This window comes from Homo sapiens, chromosome 9 (genome assembly GCF_000001405.40).
Source record: "Homo sapiens chromosome 9, GRCh38.p14 Primary Assembly".
Classification (NCBI taxonomy): Eukaryota; Metazoa; Chordata; class Mammalia; order Primates; family Hominidae; genus Homo; species Homo sapiens.
In genome coordinates, this window is record NC_000009.12 from 105246849 (window position 1) to 105274813 (window position 27965).

General features: G+C 39.7%; 1 protein-coding gene across 7 annotated transcripts in view; it reads left to right on the forward strand.

The window, feature by feature from the left end:
- SLC44A1 (solute carrier family 44 member 1) overlaps window positions 1-27965 on the forward strand; it is a 193854-nt gene that overhangs the window by 2198 nt on the left and 163691 nt on the right. For 2 of the 7 annotated variants that reach the window (XM_006717029.4, XM_006717027.4), the window contains exon 1: window positions 26654-26785. The exons of 4 other annotated variants lie outside the window; for them this stretch is intronic. In XM_006717029.4, the coding sequence (XP_006717092.1) occupies window positions 26696-26785 (90 nt within the window). In that variant the 5' untranslated portion in view covers window positions 26654-26695. Of the gene's footprint in view, window positions 1-11212; window positions 26786-27965 lie in introns of those variants that run through there. One more of the 7 variants, XM_006717028.4, reaches the window with a different exon arrangement.

Here is a 27965-nt window from a genome sequence, read left to right on the forward strand (position 1 = left end):
AGCTCCACGTCATACTTTTCAGAATGCTATCGTATACGTTTTCTTTTCTTTTACCTCCTCTCACTGTAGAACATGCCTTGTTCCACAGATAAGATGCATGTCATGCACCCAAGGGGTGCATTTTTTTCCTGTGGATTCCTATAACCAATCAACAGCTGTCACATGCTTTTAAGTTCAGCTTTAGGGACTTGTAGTGTTCAGTGGAGCATTGAGGAGCAGGTTTTGTGCCAAAGAGCTGGTGATTTTTTTTTTTTTTTCTTATTTGAGATTTTTGGCATCCTTCTTCATTTGTGAAATGTTACTAATCGGCTGGTATTTTAACTCTCCTTTCAGGAGCATTACCAGTTTTAGAATACTGTTGTTCCTATATGTGTTTTTAAACAAAATAGGGTTGCAACTCCACATCTTCTCCAGCCTCTCTTAGGGGTCTCAAAAGTATTTTCTTCTTTTTTTTGTTTTTCTTCAGACGGGGTTTCGCTTTTGTTGCCCAGGCTGCTGGAGTGCAGTGGTGCGATCTCAGCTCACTGCAACCTCCGCCTCCTGGGTTCGAGCGATTTTCCTGCCTCAGCTTCCCAAGTAGCTGGGATTATAGGTATGCACCAGCTCATCTGGCTAATTTTGTATTTTTGGTAGAGACAGGGTTTTGCCATGTTGGTCAGGCTGGTCTCGAACTCCTGACCTCGGGTGATCTACCCACCTCGGCCTCCCAAAGTGCTGGTATTACAGACATGAGCCACCGCTCCCTATCAGGGGTCTCAAATGTATTTTCACTCAGAATATGTTTGTTTCATGCCTTCTACTGGATTGTAAGCTTCTTGAGCACAGGAACTGTTTTTGTTTTCCTTATTTGTGTATCTACTGCAGTGCCTCACTGTACCTTGTACTTAATAGTTGCTCAGCAGTAGTCACTGGAGGGAATATGTAGACATATATTTGAACCTCTGGCTGGCAAGTGGCATCGAATGTGAATCTAGACCTGACCCATCTACTGTTTGTAAATTCTATGGGCTGGTTGATTAATTTTGCCAAGCTGTCCTCTTCTAAACTCAAACCTGGACTGTTTAAGTTAAAATTTACCTGCCTTTTCTATATCCCTTCCTGTTCTTTCAGTGGTACCATCAGCTTGCAAAATTGTTCAAGGTTTTCCTTTGCTCCTGATGACCTGCTTAATGTGTATGTTTTAGTTGGAGCAGTGGCTACAACATCTTAAAAGAGCTTGTCTGCAAACTCTAATGATAACCTACACAACACATGAAAACAGTGTGCTTTGAGGTAATCTGCAGTTCAGTTTAGCTTTTCTCAGCAGTATCTTCAGCAACTTTAAAGCTCTGGCAGGTTTTATCAATGTAAATAAAGTGCATTTTCTTTTTGTAGCAGGGCTTCACTTTTGAAATATAATTTATTTTCCCTTACAGTCTCTTGCTATGTTGTAGATTCTCATAAAAGAGTTTGTGGTCTTCCAAACTTTGATCTCTTGTAATCTGTCCTGGTATTATTTTCATTTTCTTGGCAGTGTCTGGGTATCATGATTTTCCATCAAAATAATTATACTGTTTTAGGATTTAGATCAAAGAAAAGTGTCACATTCTATACTAGCATTTCATTGCTAGAGGAGCAGATTATTGGCAAAATAATTTGTGCTGTATCAGCTATGTACATCTAGGATCTTAAAAGTGTCTAGTGAGTCAGGGCTCTTAAGGAACTTTTTAAATTATTTTTTAAAAATTAGTGACCATTACAAGTTGTTTACTAATATTGGTAATTGCTCAATACAAACCAACACAGGACAGTCTTTGCCTAAAAGTCTTTTGAGGGGAACGTAAAAGTAAGATAGTCTTGAGTTTCTTTTTACAGTACTAATCCTCCCTAAGGCTCTTAAAATTTATTCCCATCTCCCTATAATTCATTTGTTCTGGTATAACCTGACATAATTTCTATCCTTGTAATGTTAAACTTCAAATTTCACTTGTAAATCTTCAGATTTATTAAATGCTCTTTCCCATTGACAAACCAGTTTGAATGAATCTTTTGAAAGATTACTTAGCAAATTGCCGTAAGTCTTTGTCCTTAATGGCTAGATGATTATTTCTCACAGCAGTGCTTTAGAGGCCAGGAGATTTTGCAAGTTCTGTGAAGTTCTGTGTCCTTCAGTTCTAACCTTAAATGTTGTAAGAGGGATGGAGGAGAATCTTTCAAGTTGAACAAACTGCCGCTTGTCTGTCTAGCGTTAGGAGACATTTGTCCACTGTCTCATCCCATTGTCTTCAAATTGAAGGCTGTATATTTAACTGTCTTTTTGTAGCACTCATATTCTGTTTTGGGAGTAATAAAAAACAATCAGAAGTGGTTTACAAATGCTGGTTAATATTTGCATATGCTAACTGTGCTTTAACAATTTTAATAATACCATCATCTGTATCAGCTTTGTGGAGTTTGAAGTGAGATGGTAAAAATTAAATTTGAAGAGTGTAGTGGGAATTACCCACAGAGACTAAAGTTGCTCAGTTAAATTAAGACCTGCAAAGTAAACTTCATCTAACGGGAACAGAAGTCATGGCATGAAGCCTTTTTTTTCCTTCATCTTCTGAATACTGTGTTGTTAGCATAGAGGATCTACTCCTCAAAATATGTAAATCAAAGTTAATTTCGAAATTGGAAAATAATGTAGAAATGGTAATTTTTTTTTTTTTTTTGAGCCAGAGTTTGGCTCTCATCGCCCAGGCTGGAGTGTGGTGGCATAATCTCGGTTCACTGCAACCTCTGCCTCCCGGGTTCAAGTGATTCTACTGCCTCAGCTTCTCAAGTAGCTGGGATTACAGGTGCTCGCCACCACACCCAGCTAATTTTTTTTTTTTTTTGTATTTTTAGTAGAGACGAGTTTTCACCATGTTGGCCAGGGTGGTCTCGAACTCCTGACCTCAGATGATCCACCCGCCTCAGCCTCCCAAAGTGCTGGGATTACAGGCATGAGCCTCCATGCCCGGCCAATTCCCAAATCTTAAATTGCAGTTTACTAATTTTTTTTTTTTTTTTTTTGTGAAGTAGGGTCTTGCTTTGTCACCCAGGCTAGAGTGCAATGGCATGATCATAGCTCACTGCAGCTTTGATCTTCTGGGCTCAAGTGATCCTCCCACCTCAGCCTCCTGAGTAGCTGAGACTATAGGCACGAGCTCACGCCTGGCTATTTTTTTAATGTTTTAAATTTTTTGTAGAGACAGGATCCCACTATGTTGCCTAGGCTGGTCTCAAACTCCCGGGTTCAAACTATGCTCCTGCCTTGGCCTCCCAAAGTGCTAGGATTATAGGTGTGAGCCACTGCACCCGGCCTACTTTTTTATCTTTAGAAAATGTTTACTTTTCTAAAGATAAAATTTTGAATTAAGGAATTTCCAAGTTAAATTTCACACCACCATTTTGAACTTTCTACAGTTGCCATCTGGAGAGTAGCATGGTACAGCAAAACTAGTCCACTTAGAATGCTTCCAGGCTTAACAAATACTATACTATCAAATACTATTTGATGTGTTAACAGTACAGTCATTTAAAAATGTTATTGGCCTGGGAAAATTATTCATAAAAATATATTCTACTACCAGTAATTGGTTGATAGTTGTTTTTCTATGCTCCCCTTTCCCCTGCTCAAACTGCAAAGAAAGAATGAAATATTTCAATTTTGTAATTTTGCCTCAGATTTTTGGGACTATAGGGGATATATGAGATAAACCTACTATCACTTTTCTGTTGATCTAAACTAGAATGTAGAGATATGAAGTAGACTGAGGTCAGAGAGATACATTATGAGGTAGCTGGGATTAGAAACCTGCTTAATCTCTTAATCTCTTGTCCTTTCTGTAGTACAGTACTATTAATTCTTAATGTCTCAGGCTTTCTTTTCCTTTCATCCTTGGCTGCACATTGGAATCACTTGGAGAAGTTTACAAATGTTATGGAAGTGATGCCTGGGTCCTATTCCCAAAGATTCTTATGTATTGGTCCAAGACTGCGGGCTGGGCATCAAAAAAAGTTTTTTTTTCTGTTTTATAAGTGCTTCTTGCAGAGCAGGGCTAACCCATAATAGTACACCCAGAGTAGCCAGCATCAAAACTTTTAAAAGTTCCCCTGGTAGCCCTCGTGTGTCACCAAGTTTGAGAGCCACTCTTCCTTACCCTTTCTCTAGGTAATTTCATCCCTCGTATGGCTTCAGTTACAGTCTGTATGTTAACAGTTCCCAAACTAAATTACTGTCCTGGTCGCTGATCCTTATATCCAACTGATTAATTAGCATTTACACTAGAATATTGTACAGGCAACTCAAACTCAGCATGTTTAAATCTGTCCTCAAAATCGTACCCCTCACCCCCGGCTTTTTCAGTACTTTATCTCTGGTTCACCGAATGATACCAATGCCCTGGTTGTGGAAACTGGAGACTCGAGTCCTGTAGGGAACCTGCCTCTCACTCTTCTATATCTAGTCACCACATCTTGCCTCTTTGACCTTCTCAACGTCACTGCCAGCACTCCGGTTCAAGCCTCTGTCATCTCCAGCCCAGTACCTTGGTTACAGATCTCTCCGTAACTGTTCATGCTCCCTTCTAATTTTTCTTCGTATTGCAGTCTTGGTGATCTTTGAAAAATCCCAAGCTAATTGTGTTCCTCTCCTACTTAAAACCCTTTAATGGTTTCCCATTGCTCTTAGGACAAAGACCAGAACCCTTGACCCTGGACAACAAGACCCTGTGTGTGGCTGTTCTCCATCTCTCTATAGGGTCACCTTGTGGTGTGCTTTTCTTTGCTCATTGCACTGCAGCCTCACAGATTCTTCAGTTGGTTGTATTCCTTCCTCTTAGAGGGCTTTTGCATATGTGGTTCACTTGTCTAGGAGGCTCTTTGCTTTGCTCCCTGGCTTTTGGCTGGTTGCTTTAAGTTTCAGTCTGAAAGTCACTTCCTTGGAAAAGCCTTTTCTGATCCCTTCAAACTAGGCCATGTCTCCTCATTAAACTCTCATAGCCTTATGTGTTTTCCCTGTGAGCACTTAAAGCAGTAAACACGTAATTTTACAGTTAATATTAATGTCTAGACTAGGTGGCGGCAAACTACAGCCCATGGGCCAAATCTGACCTGCTACCTGTTTTTTATGGCTTACGAGCTAAGAATGGTCTTTACGTTTTTAAGTGGTTGAAACAAATCAAAAGAATATGATTTCATGAGAAATTTATTTAATAAATTATGAAATTTTAATTTCATTCACAAGGTTTTATTGGGACACAGTCATATTAATTCATTTACTTGTCTATAGCTGCTTTCATATGACAGTGTCAGAGTTGAGTAGTTGTGACAGAGGCCTTATGGCCTGCAAGCATAAATATTTACTCTGTGTCCCTTTACAGAAAATGTTTGCTGACCCTTGCTCTAGGCTGAGTTGATGAAGAGAGGGGCCGTGTTTGCTTTGTTTATTGCCATCTTGGTGCTTAGCTGGTACCAATACATGGTAGGTACTCATGAAATATTTGAATGAATTAACAGATATTCTGTTTCCCTCCATGGATAGAGGTGATTGAACTCCTACCTTAGAACACTGGGGTTTTAAAATTCATTATAAGAATTTTAAAACGATTCTTCTTTGGAAGACTCTTAACAGCATGTTCAGGGCTCTCTTAAGCAGCTTGTCTGTTGAAGGTATACATGTCACGTATGGAGCAAGTATACTTATAAAGGTGTAAGTTACTGGGTCAAGGTGGACAGGAAAGGGCTAGTGCGCTCAAGTAATGGACCAGTCAGATTTACAGTGGTGATGTTTTTATAGCAGGCACAAATGGGTGAGACTTTATGGCAAGCGTTGTAAAGAAAACGTGTTTGAGCTGGTGAAAAATTTAAGTCATTAAAGAGTTAGACATTGTTATCTCTGCTGTGGGAATTCACTCTGTGAAGATGGTTAAAGTTTTTGACACAGTAATATTTCCTCCTTTTTGATACTTTTTGTTTTCTAATTTATTTGGAATATAGCATAGCATAATGTTCCAATTTTGAATTTATGCATTGTGTAAAATTTAGTAATTTTTTTGGCAATTTAAAAAACAGATTTACATTTTTCAGTATGTTTTATTATACTCAATAGAGGGATGCCAGTTTTTCCCCTCTGGGGGACTCCTTTGTAATTGTATAATATGATAATGTTGTATAATAGGATTCATTTAACAAACATTTGGTTGATAAACCCCTGGAATTTATTTTTTTGTGAAAATATTATTATTCCTTTTAGTTACTCTCTACAATATCCCACAACCAGATATTTAGACTTATTTAGTAGGAAAACCCTTAAAAGCAACTTTTATTCAAATTTTTAAGGTTGCCAGAAATGCTGAAAATTATTAAATGGAAGTGTTTGACTTCTGGATATGTTTATAATATGTAAAGTAAAAAAACCAGCAGGAAGATGGAAAAATTGGAAACATGATTACTTCAAGATATTTAAGTAGCAGGGAAGGTATTAAAGTTTGTTTGTTTTTGTAGATTTGTGATAATATAATCATGATTATGATCTCAGAAAATTCTTCATTTTGAACTACTTATGATGTTACAGCTATAAGAAATAAAAAAGGCTGGGTTTGGTGGCTCACACGTATAATCCCAACACTTTGGGAGGCTGAGGCAGGAGGATTACTTGAAGCCAGGAGTTCTAGACCATCCTGGGCAATATAGTGAGACCCATCTCTACAAAAAATAGCAAAACAAATTAGCCAGGTATGGTGTCGTGTGCTTTTGGTCTCAGCTACTCAGGAGGCTGAGGTGGGAGGAAGATCTCTTGAGTCTGGGAGGTTGAGGCTGCATTGAGCTATGATCGTGCCTGTATTCCGGCCTGGGTGGCAGAGCCAGACCCTGTCTTTATTTTTTTTTGAGACAGAGTCTCGCTCTGTTGCCCAGGCTGGAGTGCAGTGACACAATCTCAGCTCACTGCAATCTCCGCCTCCCGGGTTTAAGCGATTCTCCTGCCTCAGCCTCCAAGTAGCTTGGACTACAGGTACCCGCCACCACACCTGGCTAATTTTATGTATTTTTAGTAGAGATGAGGTTTCTATGTTGGCCAGGCTGGTCTCGAACTCCTGACCTTGTGATCTGCCTGCCTCGGCCTCCCAAAGTGCTGGGATTATAGGCGTGAGCCACTGTGCCTGGCTGAGACCCTGTCTTAAACAAAGAAACAAACAAATAATAATAATAAAAAAAACCCTTAAATCCAAATAGCTAAAACATTAAGGAAAATTGATTATCTCCTATAGGTCAAGGGGTAGGGTAGCTTTCAGGTTGGTTAGTTCAGTGGCTTGATGTCAGCAAGGACGTAAGTTCTCTCCTTGTTTCTTTTTTGTCATTTTACGGAAGGTAGCTTTTTCTTAATTAGCTCCCCTCAAGATCCCAAGATGGCTATGGCTCTTCTTACCGTCTTTTGCTGAGCTGACAATCTCCAGTGGTTTTCCTTTCATGGGAATTAGAGAGGGCTGCACACTTATCCCTAAACAAGCTCTAACAAGAGGAAGGCAAAGGACTCTGCAATTGATTTAGAGTAACCAGGACTTCCCTCTGAGTCAAGTGAGGGGCAGGGCAACACCGGAACAAAAGGAGGACTTTGCCAGCAAGGTGGCGGCAGGGATGCAGGATTGGGCGTGGTGACTGGGTAGGCAGCCAATACTATCTGCTATGGTTTTGCCATTTTCTTTTGTCTTTAAATCAGACTTCTATAGTGTTTCCTAACATTTTACTTATAGCCCCATTATGAACTTCACAGTTCGTAGTTCAAAGTCACACAGTTAGTTATCTTCTTGTCCTAGTGATGCTGCTCAAGCCATTGCTGAAACCCCTGTCTTTCTTTTTTGCTCACCCCCACTGCATCTTTCCCATTCTGAGCTAAGGACAGCTTCAGATGAAGAAGAGCATTTGAGGTTGGAATAATGGTTAAGTGGTGAGTTAGTATTCTTGCAGGCCATGGTCCTTCAAGAGCACCTTGGCTGTTAGTATAACCTCTTCTCTCTCTAGCTTACAATCTCCTTTTCTACCTCTTTTGAAGTCTCACTTCTGTCTGTGTTTATCTCTGTTTCAAAATTGAGTATCAAAAAACTGATAGTTTTTATTTTCCTTATTTTTTTTCCACCTCCAGCTGATACACTTAAGGAGCTGTAATAATGAGTACAATCCACTAAAGAGGGAAAAAAAGAGAGCCTCTGTTTTCTTTTGTTTTAACCTGCTTACTTTCAGGTTTTTTTGTTTTTTTTTTTTTTTAATAATTAAACTGAAAAGTCATGTCATTATTTAGAATATCTCTGATATAAAGAGTTCTCACAGTATATAAAATGCATCCTTGCAATACATAATTTACAGAAGGAAATAAACCAGTGTGTAAATATGTTCAATCTTGTTAACAACCAAATTAAAGCATAGAGGCATCCTTTCACAGCTGTAACTTTGGTAATAGTTAACAAAATAATATTAATTGCCCAAGTGGTTTTGACTCAAATATACTTTATTGATTTGCTGAATAAATTGGAATGACCCTCTTGAGATACATTAAGAGCCATAAAAAAGTTAACATCCTTTATTTGGTAATTCTAAAGTTGAGTAATGCTATATGTAAGAATCTTTTTATTGTAGCATTATTTATAATGGCAAAAAGTTTAATTTAAAACATCATATATTTGCTGTAAAACTTTCTTCCTGTTTCTTAATAAAATCCATTTGAATTTAGTCTGTTATACTTCCTCATTGCCAACTAAATGGTCCTGCCTTAGTCATTGAGTAGCCTTTTGCCTTCCTCAGAAGTCCTTTCACTATTTCTTCTCTAAACAGCTGTTAGAATCCAGAGGATTGAACATCATTGTGTACTGGCAGGAGGGTGGGCTCTATAGCCAGACTATATCAATTTGAATCCCACCTTATCACTAGTTGAGTTATTTGGACCACATTCTTTAACCTTTGGTGCCTGAGTTTCACCAGCTATAAAATATAAACAATAATAAAACTTGCCTCAGATACTTTTAGCAAACTGCACAACTCATGAATGTATCTCAGAAATTACAATATTAATGTAAACTAAATCTCCCTGATGTTCTAATAACCATTAATCCTTCCCTTAAAAATGTTTTTGTGTTTGAGTTTTGGAAAGGTACCCTGACTTCCAAAAATTTTATTTTTATTTTTGAGACAGGGTCTTGCTCTGTCACCCTGGCTGGAGTGCAGTAGTGGATCTCGGCTCACTGCAACCTCCACCTCCCAGACTCAAGCAATCCTCCCACCTCAGCCTCCCGAGTAGCTGGGACTGCAGGCATGTACCACCATGCCTGCTAATTTTTGTATTTTTTGTAGAGATGGAGTTTTGCCATGTTGCCCAGGCTGGTCTTGAACTCCTGAGCTCAAGTGATCTGCCCACCTCAGCCTCTCAAAGTGCTGGAATTACAGGCATGAGCCACCACACCCAGCCTGGTTTATATTCTTGTGGTAATTTTATTGTGAGACAGAGTATCATTTAAGAGTTAGATCCAGCTGCATATGACAGAAAACTGAAAGAAACTAGATAAACCAGATAAAAATGTATTTCTTACCCAAAGTAAGTCCAGAAGTAGTGTTTCAGGGCTAATATGAGACTCCTCGTTTATCAAAGACCCACTCTCCTTTTGGTTTCATTATGTAAGCATATGGCTTTCATTCTTAAGATTACAAAATGGCTGGAAACTCTTTTTTTTTTTTTTTGAGACAGGGTCTCTCTCTGTCACCCAGGTTGGAGTGCGGTGGTGAGATCTCAGCTCACTGCAGCATCAATCTCCTGGGCTCAAGCTATCCTCCTGGTTGAGCTTCCCAAGTAGCTGGGACTACAGGCATGCACTACCACGCCCAGCTAATTTTTGTATTATTTTTATTTTATTTTATTTTATTTTATTTTATTTTATTTTATTTTATTTTATTTTATTATTTTTTGAGATGGACTCTTGCTGTGTCACCCAGGCTGAAGTGCAGTGGCGTGATCTCAGCTCACTTTAACCTCCACCTCCCAGGTTCAAGCATTCTCCTGCCTCAGCCTCCTGAGTAGCTGGGATTACAGGTGCCCACCACGACAGAGGGCTAATTTTTGTATTTTAGTAGAGGTGGGATTTCACCATGTTGGTCAGGCTGCTCTCGAACTCCTGACCTCAGGTAATCCACCCGCCTTGGCCTCCCAAAGTGCTGGGATTACAGGTGTGAGCCACTGCGCCCGGCCTTTTTTTGTTTTTGTTTTTGTTTTCTTTGAGACGGAGTTTCGCTCTTGTTGCCCATACTGGAGTACAGTGGCATGATCTCAGCTCACTGCAACCTCCGCATCCCGGGTTCAAGCGAGTCTCCTGCCTCAGCCTCCCAAGTAGCTGCGATTACAAGCATGTGCCACCACGCCTGGCTAATTTTGTATTTCTGGTAGAGATGGGGTTTCACCATGTTGATCAGGCTGGTCTCAAACTCCTGACCTCAGATGGTCTGCCCGCCTTGGCCTCCCAAAGTGCCGAGATTACAGGCGTGAGCCACTGTGCCTGGCCTGTATTTTTTTGTAGAGACGAGGTCTTGTCTCCCTATGTTGCCCAGGCTGGCCTCAAATTCCTGGGCTCAAGGGATCCACCCATCTTGGCCTCCGAAGTGCTGGGATTACAGGCATGAGCTACCGTGCCTGGCTCCCAGATTGTAAACTGTGTCTAGAAAATGAGTGCAAAGAGAGAAACAAACATAAATAATTAGAGGCTAAATTGGGTGGCAAGGAGTTCAGGGGACGGGGAAACCAAGAGAGGAAAGAATAGTTGGGGAGTTGGCTTCCTGAAAATGATTCTCCAGCAAAAGATCTGGTCTGGAAGAATGGGGTTTAGAAAAAGTGAAGGGCAGACAGATTTTAGTAGAAAGCAGGGAGAGGAATTCCAGTGTAAAGAACAGTTGGTCAAAGGCAAGGAAGCAGACAATAACTTGCTGCTTGTCAGTATGGAAAGGAGACCTGACCAGAGTGGAGTGAAGAGATGTTATGTTGCATTTGGGGAAGGCATTCATATTTGAAGGGGAGGAAAATGGGCAGCCATGGAGGAGTTTTCAGAGTGGTTTAAGGAAGATTAATTTGACAGCATAACTGCACCTGAATGGGAGAAATAGAAGGCAGAGGCCGCCCAGGGAGCTGTTCAGTAACTCATACCAGTGTAAACAGGAAACAGAGAAGAGTTATTGTGGAGTCAAAATAAAATAGACCTTCCTGACTTAATCTGGATATGTGGGATGAAAGAGAAGGAAAGAACAGATGTTTTGAACGCCACATCATGGAAGAAGGGTATTATAATGGCTAGACATGTTAGTTGAGATGGGGACTAGTTTGTGGAGAGGGGAAGATGAATTCAATTTTGTATGGACTGACTGGAGGTGGTACTGATATTAATACCTCCAGGCGGTATTTTCCATAGGGAATTGAAGACCCAGAACTGGATTTCAGAAAATGCTTTAAGTCATGAGCATATAGAATATAGAGAACACCAGTCATTGCTGGGGATTTACTGTGTGGTAGCCTCTGGGCTAAGCGCTTTACATGCAGTTCTCATTTTATTCTCATAACTCTGAGGTGGGTCCCAGTTAGCCTCATTTTACAGAGGAGGAAACAGAAACTCAGAAAGGCTAGGTACCTTGACTAGGATCGCCCAAGTAGTGTAAAACTGGGAGTAGTTCCAAGCCTGTGCACTTCCTGCTGTATTTCCCTCTGCTGTTCCAAGGACTGCTATATTAAATGGTAGATTGAATGTACCTTAGATACCACTTTTTTGTCTCTTAATTTCAGAGGTTGTGTGTGCTGTTTGCTGTTTGTTGTTTTGTTTTGTTTTTTGGGATGGAGTTTTGCACTGTTGCCTAGGCTGGAGTGCAGCGGCGCAGTCTTGGCTCACTGCAACCCCTACCTCCCGGATTCAAGGGATTCTCATGCCTCAGCCTCCCAAGTAGCTGGGATTATAGGCGCCAACCACAACACCTGGCTAATTTTTGTTTTTGTTTTTGTTTTTTTTTTTTGGTAGAGAGGGGGTTTCACCATGTTGGCCAGGCTGGTCTCAAATTCCTGACCTCAGGTGATCCGCCCGCCTAGGCCTCCCAAAATGCTGGCATTACAGGTGTGAGCCACCACGCCTGTTTGTTCTCTCTTTAAAGTCTATGTGTAGGTTGGTTTTAAATCAGTGCACCTCAAACTATAGAGGCCAGGGTACGACAGTTTGGAGCAGAGTCTGAAAGTGGTGGTTATAAACTTCAGACTCTAAGTAAGGACCAATGGCTACTGTGCGTATCCTCCAGGGCCCTTCCATATTTTCTTCTAAGAACTAAGTCTGAACAAGTCTGTCATGACAGCAAGTTTACTACTTGTTACTGTAATTGTGTTCTTTCCCCATAATTCACCAATTCCTGAAAATACACTTTTAAATAAGTAATGGATATTTATATGTTTAGTCAGTCTTTGGAGATTCATGGCCTTCGAAAGGGTTAATATAATTGATGCTTGTGTTATTAATATTGAGTGCCAACAAGGCTCTGGAGAGCAGTAAGAGAGGAAAGGGTGAAGAAAATGGCCTCAATAAAGTTGACTCTGGAGCACAAATGATTAGTGTGCACATTAAGATCAAATTACGAAGGCAGAGATTCCTACCATCAGAGCAAGAGCTGGAATTTTTAAAATAATAAACTTCATTTTAAAAACTCAGCATATTTAAGAGAGTTTTATTCCTTGCTTGCTAAGCCTCAAAGTTTTTCCAAATCTATTTTGCATGTGGTTTTGTATTTTCATGACAATTCTGAAACCACAGGTGTTGGAAGACAATTCTAAAGATACCAAGTTTTAAGTATATTTTGACATATTTTGAAACTAGCCATAGTTTTAATCAAGAAAAACATTTTTCAGTGTACACTGCTGATAGAAGCAGATTTCAGTTATGAAAGTTTGGAAATAATACTTTAATAAGGCACTTCATTTTAAAACTGAAAGCAATTCTAGTTTGCTGCTAGTTTAAAAAGTTTATAGTTTAATGTGATCTGAGAAAGTAAACCAAGACCAAGTGGAAACACTTATTTATCTTGAGGTTGCAACAAGCAAATTGAGCTGGGAGACTTCTGGGTGAGGAAGGATCTGCTACTTAAATCAGGCTCTAAGATATGATAGATGGTGCTCTACATGCCATCACTTTGAAAGATTTAAATGTTTCTTATGTAAGAATATCTTAATCAGGATTTCTCCCAAGTATGTGCTTCCAAAGCACCAGGGCTACAAGGTGTTCTGCCAAAAAAAGGGTTCTGAGGTCAGAAAAGTTTGAGAGGTTCTTCTTGCTCACTTCATACCACCCCCTCACTGGCCTCCCAACCCCATTTGAAAAGTAATCATGCATATTAACATATTTAGGGTCATTGCCCTGCCTCCCAGGAAACCAGTTTAACTTTGCTTAACTGGCCTTTATTGGACTTATCTGTCCTTTAAAATTTTTTTCACTATATCTTGAACTGCTCTCCTACACAGCACACTTTGAGTAACACTGCTTGAAATACTGCTTCTCAATTTCATTCTCCCAAATGACAACAAAAGTGATTATGGTGAAACCAGAAGCAACAATAAGGTTGTTGGATCAGGTGACTCTTAACTAAGAATCACTCAGCTCTGAAACTGACTTTAAGTGCATCACAAACTTCATGTTCTTCTTTAAGATATTGGCAAAAGTAGATAAATTTCAAGTCACTCAAGTATATTATAACTTAAAACCCTTTCACGTGAATCATTGTTTCTCAGATTAGTGATTTGAGATCTCCAAGGGATATTAGGTAGGGTAAATGATTGACAAAAGAATCCTTCAAGTTTGAAACTTGATAATATGAACTGCTATGGGGTCAGCTGGGCCAACAGCAAGAAGGGGAGCTATGATCTGCACTGGAGGATTTTCTCCTTTCTTCAAGTCTGCTGCAGCAGAGGGGCAGTTACAGTTATCACTTAAACTCCAAATGACCATTCGGAGATGGAATGCTATCTTTGGTTGGAGAAAGAATTGAGGATAGGGATGATGGGCCAAGCAAATAATAGATCCTCAATAAATGTTTATTGAATACATATGGAACAGGGATGGAGTATTCAGAGACTAAACATTTAGTTTGTGGTGCTGATACTTGTCAAGATTATGGTTAAAACAAATACAACTTGCCAATGGAGAGAAATGGGAATGAACCTGAAAATTAAAACTAGCTGCCGTTCAAACTGTTTAATTCTGGTGGGCTTTTGAATTCTACCTTGCTAGCATGTGTTCCTAGGTTATAATGAAGTCTTGGTGTATACATTAATATTAACCAATCAGGAAAAAAGGCACATCATAAGCTAGAACCCTCTGGGCCTCATCAAAACCTCAGTATGACAGGTAATCAGCACTGGACGATAGATTTATTATATAAGAATGAGGGCCTTCTTTCCCTTCTGCCACACCGCCTTCCCCCATTTCCCTGCAACACACCTCTTGTTTCTGGCCCACAGAGCATAATGAAAGCTCTTCTGGCCCATTTTCTCAGTGCCTGCCTGGGAGTAGACTGGGTAAAGCTCCAGTCTTAAGTATTTTGTTCAGAGTGTGACCTGGAAGATGACAAGCAGCACTGCTTCTGCCCATTGCAGCAATGAGGAAACTCAGGACAAAGGGAAGATGCTGAAAAGTAAAATAAAAGAACCGAGAATATCGGTAGAATAAAAAGAGAATCCCAAGCTGGCTGCATGCTTTGGTTCTGTTCAATGTTCATGGGCTGGTGTGCTGTCAGGCTAAGTACTGGGCTCAACAAAGAATGAGACTTTTCCTTCTGTAAGTGTGCAGTCTGTTAAGGGAGATGCTACGGAGGGGTGTAGCTTTGTCAGTGTGCCAGAGCCCAGCTGAATCTGTGTTTCTCTCTCTCTCTTTTTTTTTTTTTTTTTTTTTTGAGAGGGAGTCTCACTTTGTCGCTCAGGCTGGAGTGCAATGGCACGATCTCGGCTCACTGCAGCCTCTGCCTCCCAGGTTCAAGTGATTCTCCTATCTCAGCCTCCCAAGTAGCTGAGACTACAGGCGCCCGCCACCATGCCCAGCTAATTTTATTTTTTTATTTTTAGTTGAGACGGGGTTTCACCATGTTGATCGGGTGGTCTCGAACTCCTGACCTCAGGTGATCCGCCTGCGTTGGCTTCCCAAAGTGCTGGGATTACAGGTGTGAGCCACCACGCCTGGCCCTGTGTTTCTTATATAGCTAAATATTAGTATAGTTTACAAGGTGTAAAACACTGATAATTCCTTGCTAGATTTTAAACTAATTTTCAAAACTAAAAACTAGAAATACAAAAGTGCCCTAAAGGAACATAGATGTTATTTTTGAAGTTTGGTTTGTGTTTGTGCTTCACTGGTAAGGATGAAGTTCAGTAAACTTTAGGATAAAGTTATTGTGTCTGTAGGCATGACAGCATTTTATTATACAGAGTGAAAAAAATACTGTCCTTGAGTAAGAAAATAACAAAGCTTCAGATGCCTGTATGCAAGTCACAATGGCTTTTGAGGCAGTCCCATAGAAAAGATTGTACCTATAATATGGGTAATATTTTAATTTTCATGTTGAAATGACCAGCTTTTAAGCTAATAAATGAGTTTTCTTCTTTGATAGAGCAGATTCTAGAAATTTTAAAGTAGAACACATCGAAAGTATTCTTCTGTCGTTGTTGACTAACCTATGGTGGCTCTTTTGTTGCTCTTATGTGTTTATGACTTAGTCATGTATCTCTGCCCTGTTACCCTGCCAGGAAATCCATGTGCTCTTGCCATAGTCCCAAAGTCTCATACCTAACTGGGCACAGTGACCTGTTTAGTGTTCCATGGCCATGGACTAACTACAGGGTCCAGAATGGATTCAGGGACACCCAAGTATTCAATTTGTTTCCTACCACTACATCAGACCACCTTTCCATTTATCTTCCAGCTTTCTCCCATTCAGACATACATTTTCTGTTTATGCTCTTTAAGTTTTTAAATCTCATTTGGTTCCAAAAATGTTTTAGGTAATTTTTAATAAAATGTAAATATATTTAAGACTTTTGAAATGAAAAGCCAAAAGCTGAAAGGAGGTGGAGGTGGGATAAAAGGAAAAAGAAGCACAAATGTACCGAGTGCCTGAGCTTCTTCACCTACCAGTGTTTCTAGTCCTATTTTAGAATGATACTGATTCAAAGGAAATTGTCACATGGAATCCTTTTACAGAATTACACAACTGTCAGGGGCTTAAGAGGTCTACCAAGGTAGCCATGAATTTTATGTCACATACTCTACGTGGATTTTGTTCAGTCTTTGTTTAAACACTTCCAGCAACAGATAACTTACTGCTTCCTGAGGCATTTGTTCTACATTCAGGCAGTTATTAGAAATTTCATTTTGCACTACCGAGCTCTGTGTCCATGTAACTTCATTGTTCTGATTCTGCACCCATTAGCCAAACAGAATAAAAAACCGAAATTGGCCTTTAGTGTGTGCCAAGGTATGTGTGTGTGTTTTAAAGTTAAACACCTTTAGTTTTTACAACCATGTCTGAATGTCAGACTTTCAGAAACTTTACTGTTCTGGGCCACTTCTTTACTTTACTTTTATGCTTTCATGATTAAATCTATGTAATTTTTATTTTTATCAGTTACACATGTGTGTATTTTTTTTTTTTTTTTGAGATGGAATTTCACTCTTGTTGCCCAGACTGGAGTGCAATGGCGCGATCTTGGCTCACTCAACGTCCACCTCCCGGGTTCAAGTGATTCTCCTGCCTCAGCCTCCCTAGTAGCTGGGATTACAGGCACCCGCCACCATGCCCAGCTAATTTTTTGTATTTTTAGTAGAGACAGGGTTTCACTATGTTGGCCAGGCTGGTCTTGAACTCCTGACCTCAGGTGATCCACCCGTCTCAGCCTCCCAAAGTGCTGGGATTACAGATGTGAGCCACTGCGCCCAGCTCATATGTTTGTATTTTAAAGAGTTAAGCATTTCTAGGGCTTGTTATTTTAAAAAGCTCCCCACCCTCCCCATTTTCTGCTGCCCTGAGACCACCACTTTTAAATCTTTAATTCTTTTGCTTTTCCCCCTATATATCTTTAATATGCTTATACTGCTACCTCCTCGCTTTTCAATTTTTGACATTAATTTTGGACTCCACTGTAGAAGATAAAGATTGAGCTGTCTTCCAACACCATCCTTTGCCCTACCCTGTGCACCTACTTCGGGTTGCCCTTATCCTTCTGCTGCAGATATATCATCATAACTTTGTTTGGATCAATGTTCAGTCTTTTTTGTTTGTTTGTTTGAGATGGAGTCTACTCTGTCACCCAGGCTGGAGTGCAGTGGTGTGATCATAGCTCACTGCAGCCTCAACCTCCCAGGCTCAAGTGATCCTCCCACCTCAGCCTCCTGAATAGCGGGGACCACAGATTTGCACCACCACGCCTAGCTGATTTTTAAAAATTATTTTGTAGAGATGAGTTCTCATTATGTTTCCCAGGAGGGTCTCAAACTCTGGGGCTCAAGTGATCCTCCTGCTTTGGCCTCCTGAAGTGCAGGGATTACAGGCGTGAGCCCTCGCACCCTGCCTAATGTTTAGTCTTCATCTTATGACTAAGTGGTTGCTCTTAACAGCCGAGTCATGTAGTATTTCATCATTTGTCACTCTTGGAGATCGTGGTTGTCTTGTTCTACTGTCTACCCAGCTTTCTATTAATATGCACTTATAACTAATTGGCTTATAAACTCTCACCTAGTTGTGTGACTCTCCTTTGAGTAAGCTCAGATACCTTAGATATTCTTTCAGTTTCAATTTCCTGAATAGATCTCTCCCATACCTCCAAACTGGGCTGGATACTCTTCAGGCCTGCTTTTTTACAAAGCTGTCAATTTAAGATCTCCCTTCACATCATACCTGGAATTTTTTTTTTTTTTTTGAGATGGAGTTTTACTCTTGTTGCCCAGGCTAGAGTGCAAAGGTGCGATCTCGGCTCACCACAACCTCTACCTCCTGGGTTCAAGTGATTCTCCTGCCTCAGCCTCCCGAGTAGCTGGGATTACAGGCATGCGCCACCACGCCTGGCTAATTTTGTATTTTTAGTAGAGACGGGGTTTCTCCATGTTGGTCAGGCTGGTCTCGAACTCCTGACCTCAGACAATCTGCCCACCTTGGCCTTCCAAAGTGCTGGGATTACAGGTGTGAGCCACCGTGCCAGGCCCATTCTTTCTTGTATTGGATTCCCAATTATCTGGATCCCATGTGCTTTTTTAGTTTATTTTTTAATTTACATACGGTACAATTCACTTTTTGTTCTACAGTTGTATGAACTTTGACAGACGCATGGCCTTATGGAGCCACCACCACCAGTAGCAAGATACAGAACAGTTCTCACTTCCAAAAATTCCCTTGAGCTGCCCCTTTGTCATCAGATCACTCCTCTACCCTTGGCAACCACTGATCTATTCCTGTAGTTTTGCTTTTTCCAGAATGTCATATAAATGGAATCATACAGTATTGTAAACCTTTTGAGTTTGGCTTCTTTTCTTCAGTGTAATGCATTTGAGATGCATCCATGCTATTGCATGCATCAATAGTTTGTTTTTATGGCTAAGTAGTATTCCATTATATGAATATATCATAGTTTATTCACCAGTTGAAGAACACGGGGTTGTTTCCAGTTTGGGATGATTATTAATAAAGCTCCTGTGAACACTTCTATGCAGTGTGAATGTTTTCATTTATCTTTGGTAACTATCTGGGAGTGGAATTGCTGGGTTGTATGGTAAGTGAATGTTTATAAGAATCTGCCAAACTGTTTTCCAAATGGGCTGTACCATTGTGCATTCCCATGAGCAACGTATAAGAAGAGTTCTAATTGTTCCATATCCTCGTGAGCACTTGGTATTGTCAGTTTATTTTTTAAATTGTTGGCATAGACGTTTAGTGATATCCCACTGTGGTTTTAATTTGCATTTTCCTAGTGACCAGAGATGTTGAACATCTTTTCATGTACTTATTTAACATCTGTATATCTTTCTTGGTGTTGTATCTTTCGAATTATTGCTCTCTCTCTCTCTTTCTCTGTGTGTGTGTGTTAAGAGACATGGTCTAACTCTGTCACCCAGGCTGGAGTGCAGTGGTGCAATCATAACTCACTGCAGCCTCAAACTCCTGGGCTCAAACAGTCTTCCTGTCCTAGCCTCTCAAGTAGCTAGGCCTATAGGTGTGTGCCACCGTACCTGGCTAATTTTTATTTATTTTTTATTTTTATGTAGAGACGGGGTCTCACTATGTGCCCAGGCTGGTCTCAAACTGCTGGCCTCAACCGATCCTCCTTTCTTGACCTCTCAAAGTGCTGAGATTACAAGTGTGAGCCACCATACTTGGCCTTCATTGCTTATTTAGCAGAGGGGTTTTGTGGTATAAGTGAGTTCGCTTCTCATCTTTTCCCACCACTGGCTCGGGAATGAATTATGCTTTTGATATCATAGCTAGGAACACTGCCTAGTTCAAGGTCACAAATATTTTCTCCTATGTTTTATTCTAAAATTTTCTAGTTTTACATTTTACACTTAGGTCTATTATCCATTTTGCCAATCTTTATATAAGGTTTGAGGTACAGGTTGAGTTGGTTTTTTGTGTGTGTGTATGAATATCCATTTATTTCAGTGCAATTTATTGACAAAGACTATGTTTTCCATTGAATTGCCTTTGTATCTTTCTCAAATATCAACCATATATGTGTGGATCTATTTCAGAACTTTCTGTTTGGTTTCATCCATTTGTTTGTCTGTCTTAATACTAGTACTGTATGGTCTTAATTATTGTGGCTTTATAGTATATATTGAAATCAGGTTATGTGAGTCCTTTAACTTTTTGCTTCCTTTTCGAAGTTATTTTGACTATTATAGTTCTTTTGCCTTCCCCTATACATTTTAGAATCAGCTTGTTAATATCTACAAAAAATTTTGCTGCGATTTTGATTTGGCTTGCATTGAAATGCATGGATCCATTAGGGAAGAATTAATTGTCAAATTAATACTGAGTCTTCCAATCTATGAATGTGATGTAGTTCTCCATTTATTTAAGCCTTCTTTGAGTTTTTTTTTCTCCCCATCAGTGTCTCTGTACTGGTGTTATTTTTCTTGGTTTATTCCCTTGATTTGGTAGACCACCTCCTTCAGTAGCTTACTGAGAAAGGCTCCATGAGGGAAGTTTGTTGACACCTGGCATGTTTTTATTTTTATGTCACATATGTAATAGTTGAGTGGATACAGAATTCTAGGTTGGAAATTATTTTTCCTCAGAATTTTAAATGAGTTGTTCCATTGCCTTCTGACTTCTAGGGTCGCTGTTGAAGTCTGCTATTCTGATTCTTGATTCTTCATATTAAACTTATTCTCTCTCAAACCTTTTAGGATCTTCCTTATAACCCAAGTTCTGACATTTTTCAGCGATGGGCCTTCTATCCATTATGCTGGATACAGTATGGGCTCTTTCAATCTGGAAATTTCTGGTTTGCAATTGGGAAAATTTTTTCTTAATTCTTTCTTGGATTTTTTTCCCCCCATTTCTTCCCCGTTTCTGAATTTTCTTACCATTTAAAAGTATTTTTGAACTCCTTGTCTTTTCTCCACAATGCAATAGATTTCCTTAATTTACCTTTCAGTATTTCTATTGTGTTTTTATTTCTGCTATGATTTCTAATTTCCTAGTGGGTGCTTTTGTTCTTTTCAGTATTCTTTTTTGTTTTTACATCATCTGTTATCTCTCTGTGTGTGTTTTAATTTCACTTCTCTCTGCAACTGCATCATCTTTTTCTTCCAAGTTATTTTTTCCTGTTTGTCATGGTAAAAGATTCCTTAACTGTCTGGTCATCCTTAGCTATCTAGTTATTATTAATATTTAGGAACGGGGCCCTAAAAGATTGTTTGAAAGCATTGTATTATTTGGGTATGGGATTGTTGGCTGTGGCATTTTCTGTAGAGTGGTCTGGCTCGCCTTTTTCTTCGGGAAACACTAAGTGTCAGTATCGTTTGGTCATTTCTCTTGGACTCATCAGATTTCCCCAAACAAGTCTCTTCTGGGCTCCTGGAAAGGATATTAATCTGGCTGCCAGAGTCCTGGGACTCAAGCAGGGAAAGAAGGTTGGGGTGGGTGTTGGTTTCAATATTCAGTGTATAAACTTCCACTTCATCCTTTTGTTTTCTGTGTGGTACCTGTGTGTGGTCCAACTCTTCTGGGTAGAAGAGGGGCAGTTGTCCAACTGCACAGAAGATCTGAATGCTCTCATGCAACCCAATGAATCCTTCATTTTTAGCCCCATTGTCATCTCCAGTTCCAGAGATATATTAAACCATGAATTCCTGAGTTTTGAGGGAGTTTTGTGGTGTAAGTGGGTTCACTTCCTATCTTTTCCCACCACTGGCTCGGGATTCAGCTTTTTCGAGTGTACTAGGTCAATTTATTCTCCCACCTGCTTCGTAGTTCCAAATGTTTTAAATCCCTCTATTATTTCAGTGGAGTTTTGGAAGGGAGCCGAATTCAGTGCATGTATTCAGTTAGTCAACATTTACTCTAAGTAGACTATCCAAATCTCTTTCATTGATCTGAGTTCTATTTTAACGATCTTCTTTTTTTTTTGAGACGGAGTTTCGCTCTTGTTGCCCAGGCTGGAATGCAGTGGCGCGATCTCTGCTCACTGCAACCTCCACCTCCTGGGTTCAAGCAATTCTGCCTCAGCCTCCCGAGCAGCTGGGATTACAGGCAAGCACCACCACGCCCAGCTAATTTTTTGTATTTAGTAGAGACAAGGTTTCACCAAGTTAATCAGGCTGGTCTCGAACTCCAACCTCAGGTGATCCGCCCGCCTTGGCCTCCAAAGTGCTGGGATTACAGGCGGGTGCCACCGTACCTGGCCAACAATTTTCTTAAAGTGGGGTATGCAAAAAGCAACTCACTAAAGTAGATATAGGTAGTCCTTTCTTCTGGATTCTTAATGTTGCCTTATGTTGAATTCGCTTTTTCAACAACTTCACTTACGTTACCTTGCCGTTCACCAAAAGCTCTTAAGAAAGCCAGCTTTCCCTTTTGTGCTCTTGTTTCTTGTAGAATTTTAAAAACATAAGTATGAAGTTGGAATTTTCCCCAAGAAATTTAAAGCTGTTGATTTTTGCCCAGCTTTATAGACTGTCATGAGCTTTTATTTTTATTATCCAGTGTATGTGCTCTTCCTTTCCCAGGTTTCTATTATCTGATTAATATTAATAAATTTATGTCTGCATATTAATTTAGGGAACACCTCCTAATTGTGGCATTCACTATAGGGTGGCCTGGCTGGCCTGTTTGCTTGAGAAACCCCTAATGGCAATATCTTTTGGCCTTGATATTATTTATCATTTTGTTTTTATTTTTAAACATTTCCTTTCAGATCCTCTCTTTAGACACTCTTTTTAACTGGTCACCTCTTTTCTCAAGACCATTCTGGCAGTTTCCTATACAGCTGACCTGTACTTTAGTCCATTTCCTCCCATGTTATCCCCTGAAATATTACTAGAGTTAGGATTAATAAATTTTAATAAAATTCAGGTATATCATGTATTTCCCAATCTCCATTCTTCTATCAAAAAAGGACAAGACTTTAGCCAGGAATGGCTTACTCAGGTGCATGTGTTGGCTCTTACTGGTCCCCTCTTTCTTGTGTAAGTGCCCACAAACCCTCCCTTTGATATTTTGTTGTACAGTTTTACTGAGAGTTGACATTATGCTCAATTGCTAAGTGGGTAGCATTCACTTTCTTCCCCCTTTTAAAACCAGGGATGCTGCCATGTTCCTCTCTGTGTTGTATTGCTGTGGTTTTCTACAGTTGCTTGAAGGTTACTGACAGCTGCCAGCAGTCTTCTTTGCACAAATCCTCTTGGTGTTTGTTCAGGCGTGTGACTTGTCTGGACCACCAGGGTGTGAACTCTAACTTGGGAGACAGGAGAGGCAGGTCTTAAACTCTCTCGTCTTAGTGTGCCACACTGGTAACATGTAGAAGACACTCAGTAAATGTTTCAGTAAGCTTGTTTATTTGAAACAGTTTACTCACCTACTAGAGCTTCAATGTTTATAGACCAATATTGAATCCCATCCCACTAAATTTTGGTTATACATGTAAGGTGCTTTCTTGTGTTAAAGTGTTAAAATTTATTGAAAAAAATATCTTTTCCCAGTACCTGCTAATGTCCCAAGCGTCGTGCTGGGCTTTGGAGAGATCACAACACATGACAGCTCTTACTGTCATGGAACTCAGTGATGTTTCGTGCATGATCATCCTCTCCACTTGTTTATTGACATTGGAGGTGGCATATGTGATGTCCCTTTTTCTAAAAAATTTTCTCCTAAGACTGTCTGTAGTCTTTCTTTACGTAATCATATCTGACATGGGTCAACTTTGTTGCTGCCACCCTAGCCCAACTCATGGTCGTCTTGTGCTTAGCTGCCTACAGTTCTTTCTCCACTCAATAGCCTGAGTGATCAAAAAGGTGATTCAGACTCCACATCCTCTCCCCTCCAGAGGCTTCCATCACACTTAAATATAATATCCAGACTTCTTCTCTACCTTACTCTGGCTCTGCCTCCCTCTTCACCTCCCCACTACCATCCTTCTCATTTATTATGTTCTGGCCAAGTTCATTGTTGTCAAACACCTCGAGATCCTTCGTCTTTCAGGGCCTTCCTTTTCTCTCTGGCTCTACCCTTAGATTTGCCAGACTTCCTCCCTCAGTTCTACACCTTGTACCCTAGCTGTCATTTTCTGTTTCTTTACTTGGCTGTATTTTTTTAAAAGCTGATCATCACCTGAAATCATTATCTATTTTTTGTATTGGCTTTCTCCCACCATAAGCACTGGGATTTTGTCAGGTCTGTTGACTGCTGTATCCCCAGTGTTAGAACAGTGCCTGGTCAATGTTTGTTGAATGAATGATGCAGTAATTGTATCAACTTACATTGTTTCTTTCTACCTCTCTATTTTTAGTTCAGAGCCCTTTGGATGAGACAGGCGTTTCTGAACAAAGGCATTCTTCCAGACTTAATTAGGTTCCCTCTTCTAGGGTTAAGTGCTTAATCTTTGCAGCATCTTAAAACGGTAAAAACTAAATTCTATTCTTTGATGCCATCTATGTAATCAGTGGTTAACTTTCACACGCTTCTTTCCTGTTGGAATAATAGATGAAAAGACCAAGCGTGGCTTTAAGTCCTTCTGTTTTATAATTCCTGGACACATTTCTCAAATTTCTGCTGCAGGTTTTCTTGTTATCCCATAATCTTGACAGGTTTTCTCTCACCTCTTGGATTCCTGCTGTCAGACCTTGTTAGGCTTGTTAATTTTCTGTATAGCATGGAATGATGGTTTTCTAGAAGGTTCTGACAAACCCTTACTCTCATTTATCTTATTGCTCCTCTGGTACAGAATCTTTCATTCCTCTCCTATGTTCCCTTGTATCTTTTTTTCCCCCTAAATTACCTCCCTTAATTCCAAGTGGGTGGAAGGAAAAGGAATGGAATTTGGTCTTAAAGGATGAATAATGACTTCGTTGGAATATCAGTAAAGGAACTCTAGTCTGCGGGAATGGTACGAGCAAACACATAGAAGTGTGAAATGTGTAATGTGTTTGGCAAAAGTGGTTTGGGATGGCTGGAGTGTGTGTTTATCTCTAGTGTGAAGTCTGGCCAGAAAGGTAGATTGTGATCTTTTTCTTTTTTTTCTTTCAGACAGAGTCTCACTCTGTCACCCAGGCTGGAGTGCAGTGGTGCAATCTCAGCACACGGCAACCTCCACCTCCCAGGTTCAAGTGATTCTCCTGCCTCAGCCTCCCAGGTAGCTGGGATTATAGACACCTGCCATCACGCCTGGCTAATTTTTGTAGTTTTAGTAGAGACGGGGTTTCGCTATGTTGGCCAGGCTGGTCTCAAACTCCTGACCTCAGGTGATCCTCCTGCCTCGACCTCCCAAAGTGCTGGGATTACAGGCGTGAGCCACTGCGCCTGGCCTGATTGTGATCTTAAATGCTAGTTCTAGGGTTATGGAAGTCTGTACTTTGGTCTCATAATATTTTTGTTTCTCTGGTGTAGAAATTATTTTGTTATGTTTTACATACTAGTTGAAAGCAAGAGTCTGTTTTTATTTTTTCCTCATCTTCAACAGTATCTAATAGAGTAGCTTGCACATAATAAGAGTTCAAAGTTGAGTTGAATTGAATTCTGATAAAATGGTTTAATTTTCCCAAGAAAATCTAGAAGCCTGGACTCTTTCTACTGAATTAATCAAAAGGAGAAAATACATAACTTTTTTAATTGTACACCTTATATGAGTCTGTACTGTAGATATTCATTTTTTTGTCTTCTTTATATCTCCTACCTCACTTTTCCTTTTTGTAATATGTAATCACCACAACAGGCAGTCTTGGGATCAAGGAGAGGGGCTTGGGAGATATTTAACTCCTCAGTATCTCCATCAAGTCCCCATTCTTTGATAGGACAGTTAATCTTTTCATAATCTTCAATGCAGTGCTATGCAGAGGCATGTTCTTGTACCTCCTTCCAATCAGAGAACTGCGTGTGTCCCTCAATGCAGAAAATCTGGAACCACCATCAAGAACAAACTTATATACCTTTGAGAAAGGCTGAGAGAAAAAAAAAAAAGCCGTATGTATTAGGTATCACTATTCTCTTTACAGGTGAAAAAGCTGATTCATAAAGGTTAAAGGTCTAAGATTATTTAGCTAGTAAGCAAATGAGTTGGAATTAGAACACAGGTCTTATATTATTTTCTTTCCTCTATTTTTTAGGTATCCCAAATTCCACTTAAGGTTGATGAATGGCCTACTGGTCAGTTGAAAAAATTCAATTTGTGTAGCATTGTCTAGCACAAATGCTGAAAGTAGGTCTCCTCATCTGCTAAGGGATATAAGCAAATTCAAAGCCTCTGGCCTTTCTTGTGACACATGCATGAAAGTAGGTAATAAAAAGAAAAGTAAATATTATTTTATGCCACAGTAAGTATAATGTTAAAATAATTTCAGTACGTTTAATTTTCTTTCATATATATATATATATGTATGTATATATAATTTTTTTTTTCTTCCTTGAGATGAAGTCTTGCTCTGTCACCCAGGCTGGAATGTAGTGGCGCGATCTTGGCTCACTGCAACCTCCGCCTCCCAGGTTCAAGCAATTCTCCTGCCTCAGCCTCCCTAGTAGCTGGGATTACAGGTGCCCACCAGTACACCTGGCTAATTTTTGTGTTTTTAGTAGAGACAGGGTTTTGTCATGTTGGCCAGGCTCATCTCGAACTCCCGACCTCGGGTGATCCACCTGCTTCGGCCTCCCAAAGTGCTAGGATTACAGGCATGGGCCACTGCGCCCAGCCCGATAATTTTTATTACAGTAAGTTTGATTAGAGTATGAGTGACCAAAATCTATTTCTAAAACATAGAGTTATTGGTGAATTAGAAGGGGGTGGATGTTATTCCTTATTGTCAACATGGTTCATGTAGACTGTGGAGATGAATGGATTACATTTGGCTTTTATTAATGCTTACAAGCTGTATTTTTCCTTTTTTGCTTTTTTCTAGTTCTTATTGAACAGGATTGATTTGAAAAATTCACATGTAAACTCAGGATGCTGGGCTCTTATATCATTTCATGGTGGATGATTTGTGTAAAATTGCAACTGAGTGAATTTCATTCAAGCAGTAGGAATCTTGAAGATGTGAGTCCATTACTAGCAAATGTTATGTTCTGAGTATATTGTCTGAGTTTTTTTTTTTACCTGCAGTCACAGAGCAGTGACAGTTCATACCATTGTACATAGCCGTATCATACTTCATTAAGCAGTTTTGTATTGCTCTAAAATCACTGTTTTTGCTTTTTTCCTCAACAATATGTGTCTGAGTTTTTTTTCTCTTAGTAGGATTAATAATAATCTACTTTCCCTGGCTGTGATGCTCTTTAGAGATCAAACAGCATTTCTAAGTTGCAAGGAATCTTCCACCCTGTTGTCTTCTGCTTTTACACACCCACACAGTCACATGTTAATGAATGTGATAGTTCTGTAGGTTATTATTTCTTTATGCATATAAATATGTTTCATGGTACTTAAAGACAGGGTAGGGTAGTAATACTGACACTGATGTTAGAGGGAAAAGTAGTGAATAAAGCCAATAAAAAAACCAGTAAAGGATATATCCATCTGTGAGGTTTTGCTTATGCTCATTATAGCAAACTCTTCATTCATTCACTAGATAAACCACTAATTCGCATTTTACCAGATGTTCCCCTTAAGCAATATGAAGCTACTCCTTTTCCGCTTTGATTCTATTTTGCAATATATCTTTTCTATCAGCATTAGATTCAAAGTTACCCCTGGACTGTGCCCTCAGTTTACTCATCTGGCCTTTGTCACTGAACAAGAATTGTACTCGTGGAGGTGTATTGGCCTTTTTGAATGAGCGTCTTCACTCCTGCCTCACTGCTTTTACTTATGATGTTCTTGTTTGGAATTTTTCTTCCTCCTATCTGAATCCTATCCTGATGAGCCAGTTCATATTCCCTCCTTTCAAGAAGCCTTCCTCTTCAGTCCACACTGACCACCTCCTTCTCTGAACACAGCATAAATTACCTTGGCTATTGTTAACTAAGTGTTTCATGTCACCTACCTATAGAAATATTGAATCTTTTAAAGCATAGGATGAGGACCTATCATTCTGATCATGAAACAAGTTCTTCTGCCCAGAATTTAATAACATATTGTTGAACAGTATGGGTAGAGTAAATAACAGTAACACAACTATGTATCCATTGTTTACTTATTTGCTATATGTAGTGGTATGTATTTTACATATACCGTGGTTAACCTCACAACTGTTACAGGTGAGGAAAATAAGGCACAC